The sequence below is a fragment of the Homo sapiens genome, chromosome 1 (assembly GCF_000001405.40).
Source record: "Homo sapiens chromosome 1, GRCh38.p14 Primary Assembly".
In the NCBI taxonomy this organism is placed as follows: domain Eukaryota; kingdom Metazoa; phylum Chordata; class Mammalia; order Primates; family Hominidae; genus Homo; species Homo sapiens.
In genome coordinates this window covers 56,050,751-56,077,515 of record NC_000001.11, presented here as the reverse complement: position 1 = coordinate 56,077,515, position 26,765 = coordinate 56,050,751, and the positions used below count along the sequence as shown (strand labels likewise).

Sequence of the window (26,765 nt, the reverse complement as noted above, 5' to 3'; positions counted from 1 at the left end):
CATGTGGAAAATGAGAGCAAGAGGGTGTGTGGGCTCAGAGGGAATTGCTTGTTTGGGGGATGATGGAAGAGTGCAGTTCTGGAAAGAGATCAGTTCTATGAGTGTGTATTTCTGGTCTTCAAAAGATTACCACATACATGCTGTCATACAATTTATAATGTGCCAGAGGGAGATAAGTTGATGTGGAGAAGGAACATAGGCTTTGCAATCAGCCAGGCTTGAGTTCCAGTACCAACTCAGTTGCTACTGTCTATGTAACCTCTGCCAAGTTACTTTACGTTGCTAAGCCTTAATTGCTTTAATTGCCTTGCTAAAGTGCTTAGAATATTAGGATGCTGGGTGTTTAAAGGATGGGATGTTGGATAGATGCTGTTATGGCCACATGGAACCCCTGTCTCCTTTCAGGAATGGAGGACTTAACTTCCCCAGCTGCAGGAAGGGATGCTGAAGACAGCCCTCAGTTTCAGCCCTCCTTAGTCAAGGTCACACCTCCTCTTGAGAGTCAACCTGCCTCCTATGACTGATCTATGGCCTGGCCACTGTATCCCAAATTGGTATAATTCTGAAAGACCATACCAACACCAGAACTCCCCATGGGGTAAGCTGAGGCCTTTGTTGGAGCTATATATCACAGCTCAGCTTCTCACTCTGCCCACCCTGCATTTTTCTCTTCCCTTTCCACAAGTATCATCCCAATTAAGTATGCAAGAGCTCCCCAGTAAAGTCCTATATGTTAATCTTCAATTCAGAGTCTGGTTTCTTTTGAGCTCAACCTGAAGCAGATGTTTTATTAATATTATAATTTTTATTTATAAACCCCCACTCCCTCCCATGATGGGTGGGCCCTCATAGCTGGAGAGTCCTTTGTATACTGAGTAGCCTGAGGGTTGTAAGAGGAGCACTTGGACCCTGGAGCCAGGATAGGGCTCCAGCTAACTCCGTATTAGTCTCCATAATTAGGTGGGAGTCAACATACTTTGTGGGAGGAAGAAATCAAGTTGTGATGAGAGAAGAGGTGGGGATGTTGGGAGAAGAGGATTAGAAGAACCTTCTCTGGAAGAAGAGTAAGAAATAGAAGACTGGGGTTCAGACAGGTCTGATGAGGATATTTATATAGTAAGGATTCTGGAACCACCCTGCTTGGGTATAAGTCTGCCATGTACTTGCTTTATAACTGAACAAGTTACTCTATACTTTTATATCTCATTTTCCTCATCTGTAAAATGAGAATAGTAAAAATTGCTACTTTCAAAAGTTGTTTTAAAAATTAAATAATCTAACTAGAAATTAGAAGATGAAAATATATATTTTGTCATATATTTGTTCACTATCCAATAGGAACTGGGGGAAGCATACAAAATTATAGTAATGAATTTGTATGATGTGGATGTACCTAACTTTAGTAACTGCACAGAAAAGAGAGCTCTTTAAGGTCATATGAGAGACAGAGAAAAGTCGTTGCAGAAGTGGCATTTGAGAAATTGTGGAATAAGTAGGAGTTTGCCAGGAAGGGAAAATGGGGAAAAATAGAGAGGATGACACTTGAGAAGGGTCAGAGATGCAAGAATTTTGGAGACCACAAAGATTTCTAATGTTACTGGTTTGCTCTGACTGGAAGGTACAACAAACACCATAGCCATTCTCTGTCTGATTAATATGACTGCTCATTCCATATACAACTATAGCTTCTTATTCTTTTATTTTTATGAATGTCTTCAATTTGGAGGAACTTACCTATGTTCTCTCTGGAATGGTTGGAGGACATTTGTATGGCAGTGTATAGTGTCATAACCACAGATATGTCTTTCTGTTGACCTTAACTTCCAAACACTGTGATCTGCTTTGAACTTATACTTATTTCCTGGTCAACCTACAGCTTGAGGGCAAGCTCAGAATAAACCACGTTTGTTTGAGAGTTTCGACACTCATCAACTGGGGGAAGCATATTCCATACCCTCTTACCTGTCTGTCAGGCACAGTATGAGAAGAACGTTGACTTTGAGGTCAAATATACCTGTGTTGATCTTAGTTTTGTCCCTACTAGTTGAGTACACTTGCCCAAGTTACTCAGCTTTGCTTATGTTATCTGTCCAATGGAGGTAATTATTATCTCATAGAGTGGTTGAGAATATCAATGAATTATTAAATGTCAAATTATTGGTACAATGCCTAATATGTATTAGGTACCTAGTAAGTATTAGTTCTCCTCTTGTCTCTTTGCAAATATGAAAACTGTTGACCTTCAGATGTGCGCCAGTGCATGTGAAGTCAATGTGGGGATTAGAGTTGGCCTCTTTCACCTCCAAATTAAAATCAAACTGTGCAGATTCTTAAATGCACCCAATTTAGACTACCTATAGATTAGAGAGCCACAGCACACTTCAAGTGATAAACGGTAGGATTTTTTTAGTCAATTTGATGAATCGCTTTTAACAATTTTACAGGGTTATCTGTTATGAAATACTAACCCTAATCTTATTCATATCTTTAATATTATCCATTCACCTTGATGCTTCCAGTGATTTAAAGATATTTTATTTTTTATTGACACATTTTTGTAAGCTATCACAAATTCCTTATGGAAAGAGTAAGATATACAACACACAAAACAATGGAATGAAGTACGATAAATAAAATAGCCAAACAAAGAATTTATCGAGGGCAACTTTCTGCCTCAATGTGTGCTTTGTATCTTAATTAGGCTGAAAGCCTTGGGAAGCATACCATTTTATTGAACAAACACTATTTGACCTTTCTAATATTTTATTTTTACCCACAAAGAAAATATCCAAAGAACGAAACTTTCTGATATGGAACAAATTCTTATTTTTCTTTGGCACATACTTTGTATTGGATTGTCAAAGACAAAGGAAGAAAGGCTCGCTGAGAGCCATGGGAGAGTGTGGTGTTTTCAATGCACCTGGCATTCCTGGCTCTTCTCCTACTGGGGCATAGGGCTGTGTGAAGGGCTGGACGTTTTCAATCACAAATTCTTGCTTTGTCTATAGCATTAACCCTGTGAGCCTTCTCCACTCTTTCTATGACACTTGGCATCTATCTCCTTCCCCAACCCTGGGCTGATAGAACAAACTGGTAGAATCAGTTGACACAATCTCTATCAGAAGCAACTGGCCTTGTCTTATCCAGAGCCAATAACGCACAACACACAAGATGGCTGAAGTCCAAGGTTCCTGCACATTAACAGATGGAGGGGAATTATCAGTGGAGAAATACAACCAAGCACCATGTGGATGGGTGACAAGAAGTCTTCTGGCCAGAGGAACAGATTACATACCAGCACTGCCTTGGCTCACTGCCCCGAAGAAATACATAGCAATCCACACTCGGGGAAAATTCCATGAAATAGCAGAGCAGGAACATCCTGAAGCCAATGGCAACACATTCCAAGAAAAACATCCAATGAACCAAACCCAAAACAACACAGACCTCAGAAACGTAAATAAGAATTAACTGAAAAAGGAAACCTTCAGAGTCTTGGGAAGCAACACAACAGATTAAGTGACCACAAAACACTAAAACACCAACTAGTTATTTACCCACTGCTTTGCGGTAAATATAAGGCCCATAGTCTCCAGGAGGTTATTTCTGGGCGCCAAGGACTTAGCACATAGTCCAGCAAAGAGCTTGGGCTTTATTTTCCTACCCAGGGCAAGTGGCATTTGTAATGGGCCTGAGAACCAGAAAGAAGATATTTTTGAACTACTTAGTCTTATGGCTATTTATAAGGATGAGAGAAGATCAGAGGGTGGGAAATGCACTGGGCTTCAAGTTAGAAGACTAGGGTTTGCATTCTTACTCTGCCACTGACTAGCTCTGCTGTCTTGGCAAGCTACTTAACCAAGCTGAGCTTTGATTTCCTCACTTGGAGAAATGAGTGGATAATAAAAATTATTATTTGTTCCTCATGGGGTTGATCTGAATATTAAATGAGAAAATGGAAGTACTCCTAAGAGGCAGAGTACAATGCAGTAGCCAGCCATTATTATGGTTGTTTCTATTGCTGTTACTACTTCATTACCCTAGGATCACAGGAGAATTCACGTTTGCTAACTTGAGATGAATTTCCTGATAGCTGAGGTTTGCCCTCACCCCCAAGCATCTATCTCAATGAATTATCTGCTTCCTTGAGAAGGTTCTTGTACATAGTTTAAACTTTTCTTGATGACTTAGAACCAAAGATATGAACATCTATTATTGTCCTCAGTAGCTTACAGTTAGTTCTGTTTGATTTTTCTCTCTTTCTTCTGTGAAGTCAAGCAAAGCCACAACCCACAACTCCTGACCTGTCTATATTTGTTTATTTATTTATTTTTGAGATGGAGTCTCACTCTGTTGCCCAGGATGGAGTGCAGTGGTGCAATCTCAGCTCACTGCAACTTCTGCCTCCTGGGTTCAAGTGATTCTCCTGCCTCAGCCTGCCAAGTAGCTGAGATTACAGGTGCCTTCCACTATGCCCAGCTGATTTTTCTATTTTTAGTTGAGATGGAAATTCACCATGTTGGCCAGGCTGGTCTCAAACTCCTGACCTCAAGTGATCCGCCCACCTCAGCTTCCCAAAATGCTAGGATTACAGCTGTGAGCCACAGCACCCAGCCAAAACTAATCTCTTCCTGACCTGTATTAATAGCTTCTCCTACCTCTATTTTGCTTGCCTATTTCTAATTTGGTCCACCTCAGATGATCAAGCTTGGTAGAAATGAGTGCTAACCATGAAACAGAGAGTCTCTATTTAGAATTTTGGTGATAAAATATGAGGCATTCATACAGGGACTTTGAGATCACCACAGTAGAGTGTAGAGACATATTTTGGCTCAAGATTAGAGAGTGGAAGGTGTCAGAGAAGCTAACCTCAGGGTGAGCACATAGTGCCTGAATTAGGAATGCTTTGGATATGTTTGGCTCACTCACATATCTCTCTCATTTTGATGTAGGTAGGTACAAGTGTGATACTTATCAATTTATAGTTGGTGGGGAACAAAGCCTGAGTCAGCCTCATTAGGGGCAAGGAAGTATTTTGAAGACCTGCGGGAACAACTCATATGTGTCAATCCACACATAACAATTTAGATTGTTTTGACTAAATTATACTTCCTATCAAGATCTAGAGTCATTCAGTTCAGCAAAATGACTTCAGGGATCAGCTTCTTAGCTGAATCAGATCATTGTTTTACTGATTTCACCTAAACAAACTGTTGTTTAAGTATCCCAGCTTTTCACCATGGTGGAATTATGATAGAATCACAGGACATAGTGCTAGAAGAGCCCTTCCATGTCATGCATCCCAGTGGTTCCCAAGTGCTACTCTGAAGACCCATGTTGGTCCACAATACAGAACAGTACAGGTTCCCAAGTACTACTCTGAAGACCCATGTTGGTCCACAACAAGTTTTCACAGGTCTGTGGAAAAATGAGAAAAAAATAAGGACAATAAGACGATTCAGCATCTTTCCCCATGAGGTTAATGTAATCATTTTAGAGTCATGTCTTATATTTCATAATTTTTCTTTTTTTTCTTTTTTGGAGTTCCTTGTCCTTTAATTTGAAATGATTGTAATGGTAAGTGACAGTTATTTTTCAAAAATCTATTTCTCAGATCAAAAAATTGACCATGTTATGTTAGGCTCCTGGTTGGTACTGGTCTTTTGTTGTTGTTGTTGTTGTTGTTTGTTTATTTGTTTGTTTGCTCTATAAACTTCAAAAATTTGGGAACTTCAGATCTAGACAAGCTCCTTATTTTTCAAATGGGGAAACAGACTCCCCCAAATTGTCAAAGTTCACACAACTGGGAAGATGGAAAATTAGGACCAAAGCTTGGCCCCCCTGTTCTCTTTGCCCCACAGCTATCTCCTCAACAAGTAGAATGTTATAATTATGACCAATTCTGTTGAATGAGAAGAATGAAGCTCTGAAAGAAGAAGCGATCAGAGAAAAGGAAACCTCTTTCTCAAGTACACACCAAAGTGCCCGAAACTGATACTTCATGTATGTTATTTTCTTTATCTCTTACAACAACCCTAAAAAGAGATACAGTTGAATACACATTATAAATAAAGAAAACTAAGTTCAGAGGTGTGATAGATACCTTAACGACTCAGAATCCATCAAACTATAATATCACCAATTTACATGCTATTCAACAAATATCTGTTGAGTGTCTTTCTTGTGCTAGGTAAGACTAATGCTAATGTAATTGAAAGATTTTAGCAAATTATACAGTGATAAACAGATATTCAATGACTTTTTAAAAAACTATCTATCTAAAAAATTCCTGTGAGGCTGGTTATTATTATTTTCATTTTATAGATGAGAGAGTGAAATTAGTAGAGTTCAAATGTGTTACCCAAAGTCATATTTTGGCATGTTGCTGTGACTGGCTTTCTGATTCCTAATCCTGTTCCCCTTTCTCTATACTCTGCTAGGGATATCTTTTTCCAGAGAAGAGGCATGGTGCACCAGAAAAACCTTAGTATGCAAATAATCATGGGCCAATCGGCCACAATTATTTCTTTGAAAAGGTAGGAGCGAAAGAAGAGTTGATGGAGACACCAGGCATGAAAGGGTCATAAGTTCTGGGCTTTCCAATAATAAGCCATTCTCCTCCAGATGATTTTAATAATCTCTAGCACATGTGTTCTAACCCCTTGATGCTGTACAATATGTGTAACCAAATAAAAGATCTCTCCAGATTTAGAGATTTACTGTTTGTGATGGGAAAAGGCCAACCAGATGACATCATTTATATTCCAAATATGAGCTGCTGCCAAGGCTGGTGATGTTAAGCTGGAGAAATTGATCCTCAACATTATTCTTTGAAGGGAAAAATAAAACTGGTCTTGGCCTAGATGGTGTCTTTTTAAAAAATAATTTATGTAAATATGAAGATGAGTTTAATAAACTTCTATTTTATCCAGGATTGCTTATGTCCAGTGTGTGGGTTGTTTAGATACAAAATCACTTCCAAATAATTAAACAAACTGGGTTAGGGCATACAAGTTAGCATTTTATTGTTGTTGAGTGGATAATTGATGGGGGATTGACCTGAGGCTCATCTGCCCTCAATTAGCAAAGCATACAAGTTTCCAGGGCTGTGGTCACTCATTCAAAAGCAAAGGTGCCCAATTTGTAATGGTGGAGAATAGTATACTCTGCATCCATCCCTCAACTTCTTCCTTTATATCCTGGAGGACATGGATGCCTGAAGAAAACCATGGTAGTGTTAGGAAGGAGACACAGGAAAGATTGATACCATTCCTAGTTCTAAAGATAAATCTCAATTAATCTAAGCCAATAAACAAGTGACATTTCCCCCATGGTCAGTGATTTAGTAGTGACCTGTAATAAAGATAAAGGAAAAGACTTATATTCCATTATTGAGGAAAATACTTTTCCTTCTCTTTCTCAGTGATGACAACAAAGAAGCATCTAGTCCCAATTGATATTGGCATCCATGTTACATTCTCAAGGGGGACCAGCTTTAGGATGAGGCCAGTGTTTTGGATGGCTGAATGCAGAGATGGAAAAAGCCAAAATGCTTGATTATACTATTGAGCCACTGATTGTGCTATGCCTTCTGAGTTCCTAGAGCTCCTCCTAGAGCTATTGCATTTCCTTATTCTTTAAGCCAGTCTGAGTTTCTATTGCGTGCAGCTGAAAGCATCCTAACTGATAGGGAGCAATGACAAAATTTGCTTCCTGAGGTTCCATCAATTTATTGAACCATATACTCATGGTATTTTCAAAGATGGAGAATCTTAAGTTTGTTTTCATGGTTTTTTCGTATCCAGCTGTCACTACACTCACAGTGATTTTCTAAAACAAAAACTGCTGATAACACTCCCTGGCTTCTTGATATAGCCCCTGCTACCCTTCCAGCTCCATCTCTCATCAAGCCCACCAGCCCTCTCCCAAAGTCCTATTATTCTAAAGCACCATACTTTCATCTCTGGCCTTGCTCCTGCTCTTTCCACTGCCTGTAACAATCTCCTTCACTACCTCCTTCCCCACACTCACCCTCCATCAAATCTTGGCTTAGGCATGACTTCCCTTGGGAATCTGTCCCTTCCTTACTCCTCCTAATACTCTTCCAAGACCCCATTCATCCCCCATCAGAGCATTTTTCACACTACATGGAAATGACACTCATTTCTCTTGGACTGTGGATCCAGTGAAGGCAGGAAACACCTGTTTTGTTTATAGTTTTGTCCCTAGGACTTAACATATAGTTGGTATTACACAAAATATTCATTGAAAAATTATGAACTAATTACTTAAATCTATTCAAATATTCCTTCACTGCCTAGTGCCCAATTTGCCTTAGTATGGCTTTTAATGATCTGGCCCTGACTTCCTGTCCAGATCTCTCTCCTATTACTCACCCCTAAATTTCTTATTTAAAGTGCACTGATTCATGCATCCTCTGCTGTTTCATATCTCAGTGCCAATGACAGGCATTTTGTTACGTCCTGAAACTGGCCACTGTTGTGTAGTTCTTCTTCTTTAGGTTGAGATGTTGTTGTGAATTAGTGATATGAATAAAAGTTGAATTCTACACAGCATCTTCTCAGTTGTATGACATTGGGTGGTGTAATTAAACTCTCATCTAAAATATGAGAGGGAAATTGTACCCAATTGGCTGTTGTGAGGATAAATGAAGAAATGAATGAGAAGTCACCTGGTACAATACTCCTTGTGCCAAGTTGTTGGAATAACCCTCTCTGCTGAATCATTGTTGAACTCTGCCCTCTAGTCTTAGAATGAACCACTAATTTAAAACTACTAATTTATTGCTCTGAAAAAGTAAAATCAAAGAATAAAAATTGAGCATGAGTCTGGACTTGAAAAGAAAGTATCTGAGAAATTATAAAGTGGCCTTGCTGAGTCTCTATTCTCTGCTTTAAAGCCGGGAGAGTTTCGGGTTAGTGAGAATGCTGTTTGGGGTTAGTGGGAGTACTGTTTCTGAATTTATTTGGTTTGGCTAAAATGGTTACTTCGCTATGGCTGAACCTGCAATTTCCAGGAAGTAACTGAGTTCTTGCAGCTTCAATAACAATTGTGGAGCCCACAGGGCAATCCTTCAAAGCCTGATGAGAGCACCATGGCAAGTGTTTAGTGGTGCCTTTAAGATGCTGCTGGGCAACAGCTGAAGTGCTAGGTGGAAGCCCATTAAAGGCTTTCCTGACTGCTGGGGGGTGGGAAGAAAACACGCTACATTTACAGAATGAGCTGGATTCGATATTCTTACAACTCCTTCCCATATTCCTGGATCTTATTCCTCGACCACCCTCCTAATTTCTGATGCCTGACTTCTGCTCTATGCCTCTGTGGTCTGGGGCATCCTACCACCCTGAATAGCAATCAACCTTTTCTAGAGACATCTTGGAGGGGTAGAGGAGGGGAAGAAGACAGCTTTAAGAAAGAGGTGAAGAGATTAGATGCTGCCTCTAAACAGGACTTTTTCCTTCAATTAAATGTCTTCATTTTGGGGGGTTTAGTTTAGTTTTGTTTTTTCTTTTTAGACCCCATCCAATGACCTATCATAAATGTCTTCATTGAATAGCAGGGAAAATGTATGCTTTGAAACCAGAGAACTGGGTTTGAATCTAGGGCTCATCTACATACTAACTATAACATTTTAAACCTCAGCTTTCTCATCTATAAAATGGGATAAATTTGTCTTGCAGTTTTTCTGGTAATGAAATGAGATCCTAGATGCAAAACATCTAGCTGAGAGCAGACTGCTTAGCAGAGTTCAACAAAAATGACTCTCTTGCTAATCTTTTATCATTATTGGAAAGTATATGTTTCTTGTAAACTGATTTTGATCACCTCAGTCAGAGTGTGATGGGAAGACAAGTTCTCTTTGGATCGGACTTACAACATGCAAGGGAAAAGACATATAATCCAGCAAGTATCAGAATCATAAGCATTTCACATTTTGACCTTTCTGAAAGCTTTATGAGTGTGTCGAACACAATAATTTAGACTGTCAAGATCTAGATCAACATTCCTCGTTGTGGATGGAATGGAGCTAAGGGTGAAGGTGAGAGGTGGGAATGAGCTCTTCATGGGTGAAGGGTAAGAGTGAGCTTAGAAACAATGATTAAATGGGTAGAGAGAATGACAAGTAAATGTAGAAGTGGGCTCATGATGATGTCTTGAGACTCAGTTTCCTCATTTATAAAACAAAGAGGTGAGATGAGATTGGGATTTTCTAACTGTGTACTGCCAAATTGCTTATGTTTTCTTCATGGGATTCAAGGAGAGAGACTACAAAAGGAAAGACAGAGAAGGGAGAAATTGAATACAATCATTCTTGCTAAGAAGCAGGAAGGGGCAGGATAAAGGGAGTGATATTTCATGCCTTTGGTCCATAGACTCGTGCTAATGGTTAAGGTCTTCTCCAGCTCTTTTCTTTCTCCTCTTTTCCTTCTCCTTTTTCCTTTTCTCCTTCTTCTTTGTGGAAATTAAGAAACAACAAATAATGACGTTTGCAAGCAGAATGAGCTCAGCTCCATAAACATTGGTGGAGCAGCTACGAGCAGTTATTGTACTAAGTGCTGAGGATATAAAGATGATTAGAATATGGTTCATGACTCCAGTGAACCCTACAGTCTAGTTGGAGAGACAGATGCAATATATGGTAATTTTAATATAATGTGATGAGTTCTGTGACAGGGGAAGCCCAGGGCTGTGGAAGCCTTGGGGAAGCAACGTGGTCACAGATGTCAGGGAAGATGTCTCCATAGAGGTGATCCCTATGCTGAGACTTGAAGGATGAATAGGAGTTAGCCCTTCAAGAAGAGGTGAAGGACAATGTACCTGCTCAGAGCAATTACCCTAGCCATCCTGGTTTATTCCTCCAAATCACTCCCAGGACAGAAACATGGAAATCATTCCAAATCATTGGCTTGGGATGGTTTATTTTGGACGTGCTCAGCACTGAGTACATATTTTTCTAGGATTTGTGAGGAGATGGATTTCCATGTGTGCTGTGCTTCAGGGTGTCTCCTCGGGGTGTTTATTTACTGTGCTTTATTCCATAACCTAGCGGGGTGTCACAGCTGGAGGCAGCTGGTGGTAAATAAATAGCTTCCATTACCCAATCCCATCACCATCCTCCATCCTGCTTCAAAAACAGGGTCTCAGCCCATGGGTTCCTCTGCCCTCAAATCCACTGCAAAGTGTCAAAGCCCTGCAGAGTTGTATGAGTGTTTCCTTATAAAAATGTATTAAGAGGTAAAGCAAAGGACACTGTAGAGCACCATGGAATTCAGACTCCGAGAGAAGATAGGCTTTATTAGGAAAACTTGTTTCCTAATTAACCTTATTACATAGGTTCCTTGATAGAAAAAGACACAAACAAACAAATCAAACTTCTCATCTTATGGTCTGCTGTGAAGGTGATTTGGAGGTTATTCAGTTAAACATGGTTTTGTTGAGACTGTCCTATGTGTTCTTTGCTTTCACACATTTTATCTCATGTGGTGATTTTATGTTAGGTTTGTCAAACCAATAATGAATGAGGATGAGACTCAAATATGTCAGGAATGTTGGACTTAATCAGAGTGGGAATTTAAAACAATTATGACTAACGTGCTAGGGGCTCTAGTAGATACAGCAGAGAGTATGCAAGAACAGATGGGAAATGTAGGCAGAGAGACTGAATTTCTAAGAAAGAATGAAAAGTAAATGATAGCGATATAGCAGAGTGTGTAACTATTTCCTAGGCAGTAGAAATTCTGCTACGGACTGACCATTTAACATGGCCTCATCATTTCAAAAACTACATCACAGAGAAGGATGAGGCTGTTCACTAGTTCATAGCCCAGCCACTCTCATCCCTTAACACCTCGAAATCACTGTTTTTCAGTTGTACACAAATACCAACTAAGATCTACTAGTTCTCCCCCATCTGAGAGTAAGGGTCTAATGGAATACAGGAAAGGGACAGATCTCATATTCATTAGTGGAGAGAGAGGAAAGACTTACATTCCTAAGTTAGCCGACTCCAAGAAGGCTCTGAGAAGGGGGCTGAAATATGCATTTGAAAGTGAATACGGTATTTATCCACTAAGATAGTTAAGATTTATAAGTGGTCAAAGTATTTGTCCAAGGGAGAAAACTGAATATCTATAATTTTCTTATGACTGTAACTGTCTTCCTAAGTCTACTGACCTGCAGTAGTGTCATGCTATAGAGGTGCTCATATATTCTTTATTATCAAGCATTTTTATGTACTGATTTATACACAGATGACACAACATAACATTTATTAAATGTTACTTCCCTACCCTGTCCCAGCTCTTGTCTCCTTTTCTGGCAATAGAAATAGACTGGATGAAGACGCTATAAACATAGGTGAAGGGTGAGATTAATGCATAATTTAGGTATGTTTTCTTCATTCAAACCAAAGAGATTAGATTATCCGCTTTGCAATTGTAAAGCCCTTGAGGTCACAGAACATCGTATGAGTCATAGTCATAAAAACTCATCTAGGATTGACAAGCATGACAAGAATCCTCATAAATGTATCCAACAAGGGTTGTATGCAGCAACCATTCTTTTGTACCATGCTTCTCTTCTTGCTGCAGCTGTATGGTTTCACAACCACCACCTTACATGTTTGGCTTTGCCTTTTCCATTGAAAAAGGCCAGCCACTATGATCTCATTTTCTTGTTCATAGAGTGGGAATAATAATTCCTATCTCTGAGGAGAGGAGGTCATGTGGGGACTAATCAGATAATAGTGTATGTACTTCCGGATATTGAGCAAGTTTTCAACATGGTAATTCTTGCCTTCTATGTCTCCCTTATTCTGAAGGTTAATACTCAATACTTTCTACTTCAGGAATAATTTGAAGTGCCCTAGTTAAGTGAGTATAGTGACTAAACTTCAAGTAGTCTAACTGATAATTCTGCAATGGCAGTACACCTCCTCTCTAAAGACTAGGGTTTGTTGTTGTTGTTGTTGTTGTTTTAACTTTACTCTTAGGAAAAAAAATCCTCACCTTATACTCAGATACAAGCCTCTGGATCCCTCTGGACCAAATTTCCTAACTGGACTTGGTTGATGACCTCCTCCTCCCTGCTGTTCAGAATGAGCCCTGAGGCTTCTATGGCCTGTCCTGCTCCGCCATAGCTTCCTGTCAGACAATGGAAAGGCAGTCTAGCCTCACTTACCAATGGCCATTACCAATAGTCTTAAGTAACATAGCTGGCAGATGAGCTCTCCTTGAGGTCTAAACAAGATTGGTTCTGGCCCTTATTTCTCTGATTTTCCCAATATGCCTATGATTTTTGGAGGCTTAGGTACTCATGGCCACCTCTGATTTTGCCTTCTGTCTTGTGGATCACTTACTTTCATCTACTGTCTCTGTTCTGCATCATGTCAATCCTCTGCCTTGATTTCTCTAGAAAAGCAGCTCAAAAAATTTGTATTTGTGGTACATTTACTAAAGATTGAGAGAGTGGTCAGAGAAGGAATTTACATTGCAGCAATGCAAATAATTTTAAATTTAGCATAAGGCTTGTGGTAGATCAGATCGTTGTTTAGCAAATATCCACTCTTACTACCAGCCCTCCTCCATCAGAGGAGTTTACTTGCTCACTCCATTGATGGTGGGCTTGGTCATGTGAGTTGCTTTGACCAAAGATTATTATTAGAGGGAACATAGGCAGAGGTTTAAAATGTGCTTTCAAGGAGGGCTCCTATTATTGTAATTCTGTTATTTCCAAGAGAAAAGTGTGCACTATGTAGCCCATTCATCCCAGAAGGATGACAGCCTTGTGTCATAGACCTGGAACAGACACATGGCCTGGAGCCATACGCAGCCTAGGCCAGCCAACTTTCAGCTGACCCACAGACGCGTGAACAAGAAATACTTGCTTATTGTTGTTTTGAGTTTTGAGGTCATTAGTTATGCAGCAATATCTTACTGATACAAAGCTTCATTGTTCCTAAACATCTTTCGGCAACCTTGGCAGTGAGGAGCTTTCACTTTTCTCTTCATGTTGTACAGTGGCCTAGTCTCATGCCATTTCACTAATTGTTCTTCATTTCTCCTTCTTCTCCCCAAACTTCTGTCTTTCCAGTACCCCCAAACCACTATTAATTTTGGATGTATTATACATTATTTATCTCTTTTGGTGACCTTAGCTCATGCCAATGCATATCTCAAAGTGATGATTTCATTTCAAGCTGCTTTAAAGAATTTTAATAAACAAAGATTCTTTATAGGGGGAAAGAATGTCTTTTCTGTGCTACCTGTTAAGACAATAACACTTTTCTTTCTCATCTATTATCTGCTCTCACCTCTGCCCCCTCATCACAATCTGACTTTGCTATTCCTTGGAGAATTCCAACAATTTTATCAGGCAGAAGGCCAAGTCTAGGTGGTCTGCACTTGCGCAGGGTATATTTTTGCTTGGAATTCATACGGATCTGGGCTTTTTAACTAGTCTGATAGCTGTGTCATTAAAAAGCATTTAAAACCCCCTTACTCTGCCCCCACCTTTGACCTTGTTTCCCTGTCCATCCCAGCATCAATGTAGCACTAGGTCCTCTGGCTCTGTCTTCTGCTCTTCCAGTCTCCGTCACTGGCTTTTAACCTGGCATGTGTTCATTTTCTGACCTTTCCCAATCCAGGCCCTTCTGTGCAACTGCCACTCCCTCTTCCCCTCAAGTTCAATGACGAAAGACGCCCATGCGTCAGAACAGTGCCCTGGTTTCTCTGACTGGAGGCTCTGAGATATGGATAACAAGAGTTTCTCTACCTACTCAGGGCTTCATGGAGGGATAGGGCAAATACCACCCTCAATCCCAGCCAAGCTTGCCATCACCATTCCTGTTTCTTGCCAGTCCTGTGTCCAGAATATCTTCCTGATGTTCCCCTCCATGTTTTGGATCAATTTTTCTGTCTGTGTTGTTTCTGGAGCTGCAGCCTTTTAAGACCTAGGCTCCTGAGGCACTTATGCCCTGTTGCTCTTGATTCTCAGGGTTTCTAGAACCTGCTGTACCTGCTAGCCCTGTCTGGCTATGTGATTTGTATATAGTCCCTTCTATTGAGCTGTCCCTCCACTTCTTTTTGCCCCATGTTCCTAAGCATGGTGTTTCCCATACTCAATGCCTCTCTGCTGTGACACATCAGGTGGCAGGGCCATGGGGGCTTCACCCTATCTTCTCTTAGGGGCTCTTGTTGACACTCGGTACCCAAGTGCCTCCTGGATCAGGACCAGGGTCTTTATATGTCCACAGCACTGAAAGCATCATGATTTCCCTCCCACATATGTAATTTGAAAATAAAATCAAATTACTTATTAGCCATTCCTCCTTTGCCAATGTCCTAAGCATGGGTTTAGTTCACTGCTGTTAGAAAATCCAGCACTGATGAACCTCTCTCAGTCTTGCTCATACCCATCCTCCTTCCTGCCTGTGCTACCTGTTAGGCCTGTTATATAACTGCCTACTCTGCACTTCCTCTTACCATGCCCTTCTGGAAAGATGAGTGTTCTGCTCTGCTGCTTAGAAAGGACTTCCTCTTTTGTCTTCTTTCTTGGAGGGAGGAATTAACCTGGTTAGTATTATGAGTGGCTATTTAAATTGTGCTTTCTTGAATCTGGCTATCTTAGTTTTCTTTTCTCCCCCATCTACAACCAAATCCACCTGACACCTATTTCTTGCAAAAGTTTTGGTGTTTATTGGGGAGATGGGACTGCCAATGGAGAAGACGCTTCCTGGGGTCCTTGGGCAGCCAAGGAGCAGCATGAGAGCAACTGCGTTGGTAAATCATGGAGGAGAATTTGCCACTACAAGACCTGTGCCTGCCAGAGAAAATAGCAGTAAACACAGCCTTTTGTCTGTATGAAAGACTCTGCAGTTTATAAGGCTTTCACAGAATTTTCTAAATCCATCCTCACCACAGTCAATTTTATATTATCCTAATATTATCCTCATTTTATAGATGAGGAATTAGAGCCCAGAGGGCTTAACTCACTCCCAAACTTACCCAGATGGTATAAAAAAATTTAACCAACTGGAGGATTTTGTCAAAGGCTGGCCCATATTTGAGATTAATTTTGGCCCATTTCAATTCATAAAACTGAAAAAAATGAGTTTTTTAAAATTTATTTAAGTTATTTGCACATATTTATATTTATACCCCATCTTATTTCAGACAAGATTTAAGCAAACACACATATACACTTACACATATCCCAACTGAATATGTGGGAACTACATTTTTGAAAGATTTTTTTAACCCAAAACCTCAAATGATTTGTTTAGCTTTTGGTCAACAAACAAGAGCACTTGTATTTCTATCACTAAGTTTTTGCTTTTGCAGGGGGGTGAGTAATGTCTAGCAAAGCCTCCTCTGTTGAAACCCAAATACACTCAAGTTGAGCACTTAAACCGAGGCAGAGGAAGCCAAGACCCAGCAAGCCTGCCAGATGTTTATACTGCCTTTTCATGGAAAGCTAAGCTTTTTATTTTTGTTTGCTTATTTGTTGAGCTGTGGAAGGGAAGTTTGAACAAGACCCATTCCAGGGCAATGAAGGGCAGAATGTTAAGAGGTACTGATGAAATACATGGCTGATCTCTATGTGGGTGATGGTCTGGCTACTTGATAGCCAGGGAAATCTGGGGTCCTTGGAAGGCAGAGGGCACAGGACGCTGGTTCTGGCTGTCACTTGGATAGCTATGTAGTTGGTGGGCAAGTGACTTGCCTTGGGGAAAATGGCTTTGCCACTAAGAACATAGGCCCTGGAATTAGGCATTTCTGGGCTTGAATCCTAGTTCTACCCCAGGTAAGCCATATCGTATCTTTGAAGCCTCATTTTCCTATCTATAAATGGGAATCACTTCTTATTGGGATTTTGTTAGAAATTAATGATATAACCTCATTAAAGCCTTTAACAGAGTGACTGGCACTGTCCTGAAGCTCTCAGTTTCTTCACCTCTGGGTGAGCCATTAGGCCCCTTCTGGCTCAAATGCTTTTGGGATCTACCGTGGTGCCAGGATTGCTCTGGACTGCCTGCTTTCACAGCCAGCTACCCTTTTCTTGGCCTCTGGATTGTCTCAAGGCTTGCCTTGTCTTTTCATGTTGCTGGGACAACTCAGGCACCAACTTGAGGGAAGCCTCCCTTCAGGTGAATAAACACATTGACGGTATGTATGTATCTTGGACCAGGGGCTGTGGCCTGTGTAACCAAAGAAGAATTTCCACTGAGTTACAAGATTAGCCACTGGCATTTAGACACTGGAGGCTGGAACACGCAAGGGCATATGTTTTGGGGGCTTTTTCTGTCTTCCCTCAGTACTTGCTGAATTGGACCCCTCACCTACAACGCCCTCTCCCCTCTTGACTCTGTATCTCAGACCTACTGAGAGACAGTATGGAGCAGAAGACAAAGTGAGTGCTTCATAGTCACACACACCAGGGTTCCATCCTGTTCCTGCTACCCCCTTGAAATGTGACCTTGGGCATGAATTTAAATAGTTTAGTCAGTATGGCATGATGGTTAAGAGCATGGAAAATGGATCCTGAGTGTCTGGCTTCAAATCCTAACTTTACTACTTACTAATTCTGTGAACTTGAACATGTTATGACCTTGCTCTACCTCAGTTTCCTCATACTTAGGATAGGCAACTCTCATTGTTTGCTACAAGGATTACATAAGAAAGAGAGAGGTAGACAGATGAATAGAAGATAGATAGATAGATAGGTAATAAATGGATAGATGATAGGTAGATAGATAATAAATGGATAGATAAATGATAGGTAGATAGATAATCATTTAGAACAATGTTTCATGATTAGTTAATACTAAGAAAGAGTTTGCTATATTATAATCTGTTGTTAAATTATTTACCTGTAAATTGAGTGATGATAATCCTACTTCTTAGAGTTGTTTTGCGGTAAGGTGGTTGCTTTTCGTTATTCATATCCTCAGCTAAGCTCAGCTTCTATTTTCATTGTTTTCTTTTTTCTTTTAACTGTAGGTTTATTTTCTTTTCCAAAAATCTCTGTCTCAGGACATAAATACAAATCAGAAAAAAGTACATTTAAGACCTCAGAATATGGAGGACAATATGTAAGAGTGATATCATTTTTAGTTGGTTGAAAACAAAGCTGTAAGAATTGCTTTCACTAAGAAGTACTTACTCTTTTCAAGGTTAATAAATAAATCAACTAAAATTTAAAGTCATATATACAGTACAGCCCTCTCAGACATTCTAGTAAATACATAGGTGTGAACAACAACATAGGCAATACTTTTATTCAGTACTTTTTTTTGTACAATGTTTGTTGATGAGAAATTTGTTAGACAAGTCTGGTTTCATTTGTTGCTAAATCATGACCTCTTAGCTAACTATGGTTGTCTTCTGATCCTCCTAGCATACATACATTGCCTTCCTCTTTCCATCTTTGTATCCCCACCAAGTGATGCCTAATAAAAATTAAATAAATGTTGATTACAAGAATGATTAGAATAGCAGTCGAGTGTTTTCTTTCAATTTATATACACTTACCTTACCAAAGTTATTCTTGGATTCTCCCAGGGTAACTCTATCTCAGCTTTTTCTATTACTTGTGTTTTTGAGGGATGGTGATGAACGCTACAAGGGAAGAACTATTTGCTCTTAATTAATAATCAAGACTGCTAACTGTCCCCAAAATTCCATTCTTCCCTGCCGGATGTTTACGCTGCCTCTTTATGGGAAACTAAGGTTTTAATTTTTATTTGCAAAAATACAGCAAGATGAGATCTCCCGGTTTCCCTTATATGAGTTGTGACCACATAACTCAGTTCTCTGGGAGTCAGTGTGAAGCATGAATAATGATCCCATCTCCAGGTTCAGCCCTCCTCACTCTCCCCAAATGCGCCTCCATGCTCATTCTCTCTTCTAGTCCACTGAGATGTCAACACCTTGGGTAATCTTGGAAGCCACAGAGTAAATATATCAAGCTACCACCAGCATGGGGAGGAGTGACCCTGACAACACCCACCTAGAAGTATTACATGTGCAAGAAGTACATTTTAAATGTATTAATCCACTTAAGTTTTTTTTTTCTCTTTCTTGCCATAGCTTAGCCTAATGCAGTGTAGGACACATAAACAAATAGAATCTTTTGTCTAGGAAAATACAGCTACTAATTTATCTGAGCTCCCAAAGTGAGAGGTAGAGGAAACTAAAATTCCTTTTGTGCTAAATACCAGACACAATACTTGGCAAGTACTGGGTGCATTGCAGAATTCCTCCCCTAGGATTTGTCTTGGAAGCCCACGACGTTAGGTATTATGATCCCTGTTTAACAGATGAGGGATATGAAACAGAGAAAGGAGATGTCATTTGCTTAGCAAGTAACTGAGAGAACTGAGAATCAAAGGCAAACCAGATAAAGTCCAAAGTTCTTTTTCCTGCTGCTGCTGCACATGAGAGATGTCCAGTCAACTGCTCTATTCCCAAGATGTTTACTGTGGACAAAGAAAGCATCCTATAAGTTGATATATAAGTCAGTCTTGTTTTTAGACACTTTGAATGAACAGTTTTTGTTTGTGCTTTTTAACCACATACACTTGAACTGTTTCATGAGAAGTCTGCACTTCTTCAGACTGGGGAATTGCCCATCTCGCATGCTAAGTATTAACATGGGAGAGTCTATAGACAGCATGATGTGTGGCCTGGTGCCAGGTCAGGGCAGCTGACCATAGCTTTCCTGGCCCTTTTTAGGGTTCATGGCCTTTTTGGCCTCTGTCATACCCATACTCAAAGTGGGTGCCTTGTCTACATTCCTTAGCCTTTCTATGTAAACAGAACACCCTAACCCATTTATGCAACTTTCAAGAGAGCTTTGTAAACATAGAGATGGCTTTAAGCCTCCTTTCTCTCACTTGCTTTAATAAAGTGCTGGGGTATAGAAACCAGCCTTCTTCCATCTCGATCATCCTGAGAACATCTCCGGGCTTTAGTTTCCCCTTCTCCAAAAGAAGGGGCCTAGAGCTGGGACTTTTTAATTTGCTACCACCAAAGATACCATTTTTTGTAAAACTTTAATCTCAAGGAGTCCTAAGTTTTATGAAACCAGAGAACCATGTCTTATCTTCAGTGTTTAGTACCATACCTGGCACAAAACTGTTTTTTTGCTAAATATTTGCTGAAGACACTACAATCTACAAAACTCCATAAACTTGGTAGTCATTAGGGGTCTTCACTAAATATTTCAAATGCTCTCGCCTTCTGATAACTGGATGGGATCACACTGCCAGGCCCCCTAGGGCTATGCTGGGTCACTGGACTTAATCTGGCCAGTGATCTGCAAGAGAAGTATTTAATCACCAGTGCGCAGTCCTCAAGAGTTCTCATTTTCCTCTGCAGGGAGAAGGCAATGTTCTAGATAGAAACTGCTTTATTGGCCTGGGTTTCTTGGAGCGAAGAAACATTGAGGAGCAGATCCCCCAGCTGATTCAGCAGACGTGCAGCAGAAGCCGACGGAAACCTCTGCTGTTTTAAGGCACTGAGATTTTGGAGTTGTTTGCTATCATAGTGTAATCTATCATCTCCTAACTGATTCAATGTGTTTATCACAATTAATTGGTTTTTCTCAGTTTTAATAACCATAGAAATACACAGCTGTCATTCAGAGCCTCTAACAAGAAAGTGGTGTGACTCATTAAACTGGTAGCACTCCTGCCAAAACCAAAGCAATGTGATCATTCCAGTAGCAATTGTTGCAATAGAACCGTTTTATTATTTGTAAGATAAATGTAATTTCTGCTAGGCTTTTTCAGCCTCTGGATATATCTTAGATGCTCATGACTACTTCAGCTCCTGTTTTTACTGAGTGTGCTTAGTTCAACTGTCACTGGCTTATGTATCCCGGGGCCCTTCCAGTTGGGCATGCTGGAAAAAAAAACATCCTCTTTGGAAGCAGTAGTACGTTCTTGAACCTCTCTGAACCTCAGTTTCCTTACTTATAAAACAAGAATTACAAATACTACCTCACAGAGTTGTCATGATCATCAAATGAAATATTATAATTGCTGCTCTTCAAGCAGTATACAGCACAGGTACAGCTGGCTCTCTGAATGGGTCAGGTACCTTTCAGCTCTAAGGAAGGTGACCATGAGTTTAGGTTTGCCCTAAATGCTCCCAGTTTCTGCTACTTGTTCTTATATCACAATTATTATTTTAAAAATAATGATGTATTTAATTTAATCTGGAGCAATTTTGTTCAATCTTTCTATGTCTTTTGTGGCATTGACATTTTTAAAGTGGACAGGTCAGTTATTTTGCAGAATGTTCCTTAATTTGGTGTTATCTGTTTCCTCATGATTAGATTTAGATTATGCTATTTTTTGGCAAAAATGTCACAGAAAGATGTGTGTTCTTCTCAGTGCTTTGTGTCAAGAGGCACAAGATGTGAAATTGTCCCCTTACTGGTGATGTTAATTTTGATCTCTTGGTTAGGTGGTATCTTCCAGATTTCTCTGCTATGAAGTTTACATTTTCCCCTTTGTAATTAATAAGTGACTTTGCAAGAGATAACTTAAAACTATGCACATATCCTGTTACTCCTGAAACTTTCATCCAGGAGTTTTAATATCCATTAATAATTCTTGTCTAAATCTATTATTGTCATGGCTGCTGTCTTAGTTTGTGTTGCTATAACAAAATACACAGACTACATAATTGATCAAATAACAGACACTTATTTCTCACAGTTCTGGAGGCCTTGGAATTCCATGATCAAGACACCAGCAGATTCAGTGTCTGGTGAGGGCCTGGTGCCTTGGTGCTAAGTCCTCAAGAGAGGATGAACATTGTGTCCTCACGCGGTGGAATGCAGAAGGGTAAAGGGCCTAGTTAGTTGCTATCAGCCCTTTAAGGCACTTAATCCAATCCATGAGAGCAGAGCCCTCCTGGCCTAATCACCTCCTAAAGTCCCCACCTCTTAATACTATCACATTGGTATCAAGATTCAGCATATGAATTTTGGAGGACACATTGAGAGTATAGCAATTACCAAATGGTGATCTTCTAAATACAATATTTTTTTACTTTTATTAGTTGGCTTTCTACTGTAAGGAAAAGCTTTCCCTTCCCGATCATTTGCTTACTCAGATCCATAGGGACTCACATATGTAGTCTTATTTTAGTCAATGGATTTTGACATTGATTTTGTTGATTTTCTTTGATGCTCAAATTGTACCACTGGCCATCTCTAGTCATTTTCTAAGTCTGTTTCAAAAACCATGTCTTTCAGAAGCCTGATTTAGTCCACTTCAGCCAGTCAGTAACTCTCATTTCTGTGCTCCTCTCAGTCTATGTACTTTCCACTCCTTATACAAGTTTCTTATTGGGTTGTACTTGTTGGTTTCTTTTCTCACATTAGATTGTGAGCTCTTCAGTATGAAGGAAGTGTCTGATTTATCTCTATATCCTTAATGCTTAGCACAGAGACTGGTGCATGGAGGAAACTCAATTTTTCCTTATTAAAAAGCATGAATGAATGGAAGAAAGAAAAACAGTTCTTAAGTTTCTACCAACCAGTTCCAATCCCTTTTTGGGGTACTAGCTTTAACTAGCAAAAAGAAATTATCTGTAACATTCATAGCAGGCTGCTGTGAGTCTTGCAATAGTGAGGCTGATTCAAGGTGGATTAAATTGTCAACATGTTTGAATTTAACATAAATGATCCCCCCATTTCAGAAGCTGCCTGCCAACTCTGATCTCATATCCTTAGTGATTCTTTACTATTAGCTTGATATGGTGTTGTTTTCTCTCCTAGTTCCTCACTCAATAGGAACTGCTCTCCCCAAAGATGAAAAGAAGGGATGTAATAACCTTTCCATCACAGGTGGTGAACCTAGAGGAGAGGATCTGAATCCCTGATCAGTCGGTCCAGGTTTGGCTTCCTTTCTGTGCAGCTCAGATGAGTGACTTTGGGTGAGTTGCCTAACCTGATTCATCCTTTGCTTCCTTCACTCTGAAATAAGGATCATAGCATCTGTGACCCCAACTGAGGTAACCTGAGTGAAAGCAAAATCACTTTGGAACTGAGAAACTGCTCTCTGGAACCTCCGCACCTTGGCACGTGGCAATCCATTTGCCTGAGATGCCCTTCCTTGCCTCTGTTGTCTCTTTCTTGGCAAATCCTTTCTGATACCTCAGGGTTCTGCCTATGTGTCATCTCCTTGAGTGACATAGTGCACTCCAGGTCTCTGTTTTGTCTGTACACACATAAAAAGTCCCCTGGGTTATACATTTTGTGTTCACAGCCTAAGCCCTGAACTGCACCCGGATGTTTCTCCTCAAGGTCATGACGGTGTTATGTATTTATTTCTTTGTATAATAATGATCCCCAGTTAAACTTTTATCTTTCTGACCATGAAATTATCTTTTGTCTCCCTCAAGTTCCCCCTCAAATCACAAGGTGTACCCCAAATTCTCATCCTTGAGAATATCCTCTATGTGAGGCACTCATGCCTGCTCATCCTAACCCAATATACTTCCCCTAGATTTGGGAAGAAGAAAACTGTTTTAGGTGCCAAGATGGACTGCAGAGGCCAGAAAATATGTATTAAAAGAGGAGACAATATTTTTATCAGGGATTTTTAAAAGGAGCCAGATAGGTGACATTAAAACTTTCCTTTGGCAGCTCATTCCCAATGAAGAAGTAATCAGACTCCACCTGATTTATCAGCTTTCACAACCAACTCTATTTTCTTTCTCTCATCCCTGTCTTTCCTTCAAGTGCAATCTAGGGTGCAGCTACTTTAATCTTACTGTTCTTCAAACATGACTTCTTCCTTGTTTCTTTGTCTTGTCTCAAGGTACTTCTTCTGCCAGCATATCCTGTCCTATCCCTCAATGTTACCCGGAAAATTGCTCAAAAATCATCTTTTCTGTGAAGCATCCCAAATCATCCCCAAGGCAGTAGGTCACTCACTTCTTTGAACATTCCTCAATAACAGCACAGATCAAGGGCCTGTGCTACCTTCTGATCTGCAGCTGCAAATATTGCCTGATGCAAAATGAATACTCTGTAATATTTCTGAAAAGGTGAAAGTGAAATAATGTGGGACGGAGCTTATAGTCATTGTTTATGTACACATTCCAGGCATAGGGTTAGAAGCTTTGAACATACTGTATCTTAATTTTTACAACAACAATTTTTAGTAAATTTTCTTATTTTCAAAGGACACTGGGGATCAGAGAGTGAAGAACTTGCCTATGGTCACACACCTGGTAAGCAGACATCATATACAAACCATGTTCTCTCCAATACATACACTACCATTTCTATATTTAGAAAATATGTCATAAATAGGATGTAAATGCTAACTTTTCCTATTTAATTTCCTGTTTTACTAGATTACATAAGAGGACACAAATGTTATAGTTTTGGTTTGTTGCTTATTTATCTGTACGACCTTGAATACATTTTAAAGGAATTCACTCAACTATCATCTCCTGTAAAAAGTGTTTCTTGAATCCCTAGGCTGGATAGAATATCTTTCCTTTGTCTTCCTGCTGTGGCCTGTGCATATCACTGGTGTTAATTCAAATAATCATCCCTTATTTGTCAATCTTTCCTACTAGACTGTTTTTTCCTTAAGAGCTGGACTGTGTCTTAATTTATCTTTTCTTTCTTTGAGCCTCACTCAAGAACTGGCACATAGTGAATACCTACTTAGTATTTATTGGGTTAATAAATATATGAAAGAATAAAACTCCTTACCCTATTTAGGCCCCACCTTAACAATATGAAAAATAAAAGGTTGGACTAAGTCAGAGACACCACGAATATGGTACATGTGCCACACTGATCCTTTGCTGTGTCCTTGGCAGACATTGCAAATAAATTACTTCTTTCTATTCTGGACATAATTGCAAAATCTTTCTCACTTTAGGGTGCACCTCCTATGAGTGAACTTTATTGCCATACTTAATTAGATGTTCTTTCTGGCCCTTGACAGTTTCAGATGCTCAGAGTCTGGTCCTTCCCGTCAGAAGGAAGTATGTGTAAGATGCTACCAAAGGTTGGGTCTAGGGGATGATGAATGATATTCCTGCCTCTATGTCACCTCCTGAATTTTCATCACTGCATTCCTGATTTGACAAGTGATTTAACATCCTAGGCTGGGGAAGGACTGATGGATGAATTGGTCCTCTGTGCATGGCTGTTGGGCAGGAAATTAATAAGAATGCTAGCTGACATGATCTATGGTACTGTCAGCTCATTATGCCTGATTAGCTTCCAGCCTTTCACTCCCTCTGACAGCTACAGGGCCTCAGGGTTTCCAATGGCAACTATTTCCCTTTCTCTAATTGATTGCTAGGTCTCCGGCCATGAAACCAAACCCTCCCACAGACTTGTCAGAGTAGGGAACCTTTCTGCATCATATTACGTTCTCCCTTTTGGCAGTGGGAAGGTGAGCTCCTGGATTGTCTAAGTGGTGTTGACAGTAAAGCCCTTTGAACTCAGGAAACAAAATTTGAAGGGGTCAAATCAGTCTAGTTGATCAAGTTCTTATCAAACTACTTACCATGTGCTGAGGTCTGTGTTCAGTAAGGAAATGGCAAAAGAAGTAGATCATATGACAATAAAATAGGAGAGAAGCTTTAAAATATATTTCAACAAACATTTATGATGTACAATAGCAACAAACACTGTGGCCTATATTCAATTGAATCCAAATTGAATTGTGTGTGTGTGTGTATATATATGTATATATACACACACATATATATATATACACATATGTGTGTGTGTGTGTACAAAGTGAATATATACACACAGGCACACCTTGTTTTATTGCACTTCATTCAATTACACTTCACAGATACTGCATATTTTACAAATTGAAGGTTTGTGGCAACCCTGCATTGAACAAGTCTGTTGGTACCGTTTTCCCAACAGCATGTGCTTGCTTCATGTCTCTGTCACATTTTGGTAATTCTTATAATATTTCAAACTCTTTAATTATTATATGAGTTATAGTGATCTGTGATCAGTGATCTTTGATGTTAGTATTGTAATTGTTTGGGGTGCCAGGAAATAAACTTAATTGATAAATGTGTATTTTCTGACTGCTCCACAAACTGATGGTCTCTCTGTTTTCTTCCTTCTCTCTTCAGGCCCCCATACTCCCTGAGACACAACAACATTGATATTAGACCAGTTAATAACTCTACAATGGCCTGTAAGTGTTCAAGTGAAAGGAAGAGTCGCATATCTCTCACTGTAAATCAAAAACTAGAAATGATTAGGCTCAATGAGGAAGCCACGTTGAAAGCTGAGAAAGGCTGAAAGTAGGCTTCTTGTGCCAAATAGTTAGTCAAGTTGTGAATGCAAAGAAAACAGGCTTGAAGGAAATTTAAAGTGCTACTTCAGTGAACACATGAATAATAAGAAAGTGAATCAGCATTATTGCTAATAGAAAGGAAGTTTCAGTGGTCTGGATAGAAGATCAAATCAGCCATAACATTCCCTTAAGCCAAACCCTAATCCAGAGCAAGGCTCTAACTTTCTTAAATTCTGTGAAGGCTGATAGAGATGAGGAAGCTGCAGAAGGAAAGCTTGAAGCTAGCAGAGATTGGTCCATGGGGTTTAAGGAAAGAAACCGTTTCCATAACGTAAAAGTGGAAGGTGAAGCAGCAAGTACTTATGTAGAAGCTGCAGCAAGTTATTCAGAAGATTTAGCTAGGAACATTGATGAAGATGGCTACATTAAATAA

At 39.8% G+C, this 26,765-nt stretch overlaps 3 long non-coding RNA genes across 6 annotated transcripts in view; 1 reads left to right on the top strand and 2 right to left on the bottom strand.

The window, feature by feature from the left end:
* The window catches only part of LOC105378741 (uncharacterized), a 74,511-nt gene extending 47,974 nt beyond the window's left edge, over positions 1 to 26,537 (top strand). For 2 of the 4 annotated variants that reach the window (XR_001738064.2, XR_001738063.2), the window contains exon 3: positions 20,400 to 26,537. This is a non-coding gene — a long non-coding RNA (uncharacterized LOC105378741). The remainder of the gene's footprint in view (positions 1 to 20,399) is intronic. The other 2 variants (XR_001738066.2, XR_001738065.2) reach the window with 2 other exon arrangements.
* LOC124904591 (uncharacterized) lies at positions 7,001 to 18,338 on the bottom strand. Its single transcript, XR_007067031.1, has 2 exons — positions 17,891 to 18,338; positions 7,001 to 7,216 (listed from the first exon to the last, which is right to left on the bottom strand). It is a non-coding gene; the product is annotated as an uncharacterized LOC124904591 (long non-coding RNA).
* The window catches only part of LOC105378737 (uncharacterized), a 98,091-nt gene continuing 89,682 nt past the window's right edge, over positions 18,357 to 26,765 (bottom strand). The window contains exon 4 of the long non-coding RNA XR_007067029.1: positions 18,357 to 19,498. This is a non-coding gene — a long non-coding RNA (uncharacterized LOC105378737). The remainder of the gene's footprint in view (positions 19,499 to 26,765) is intronic.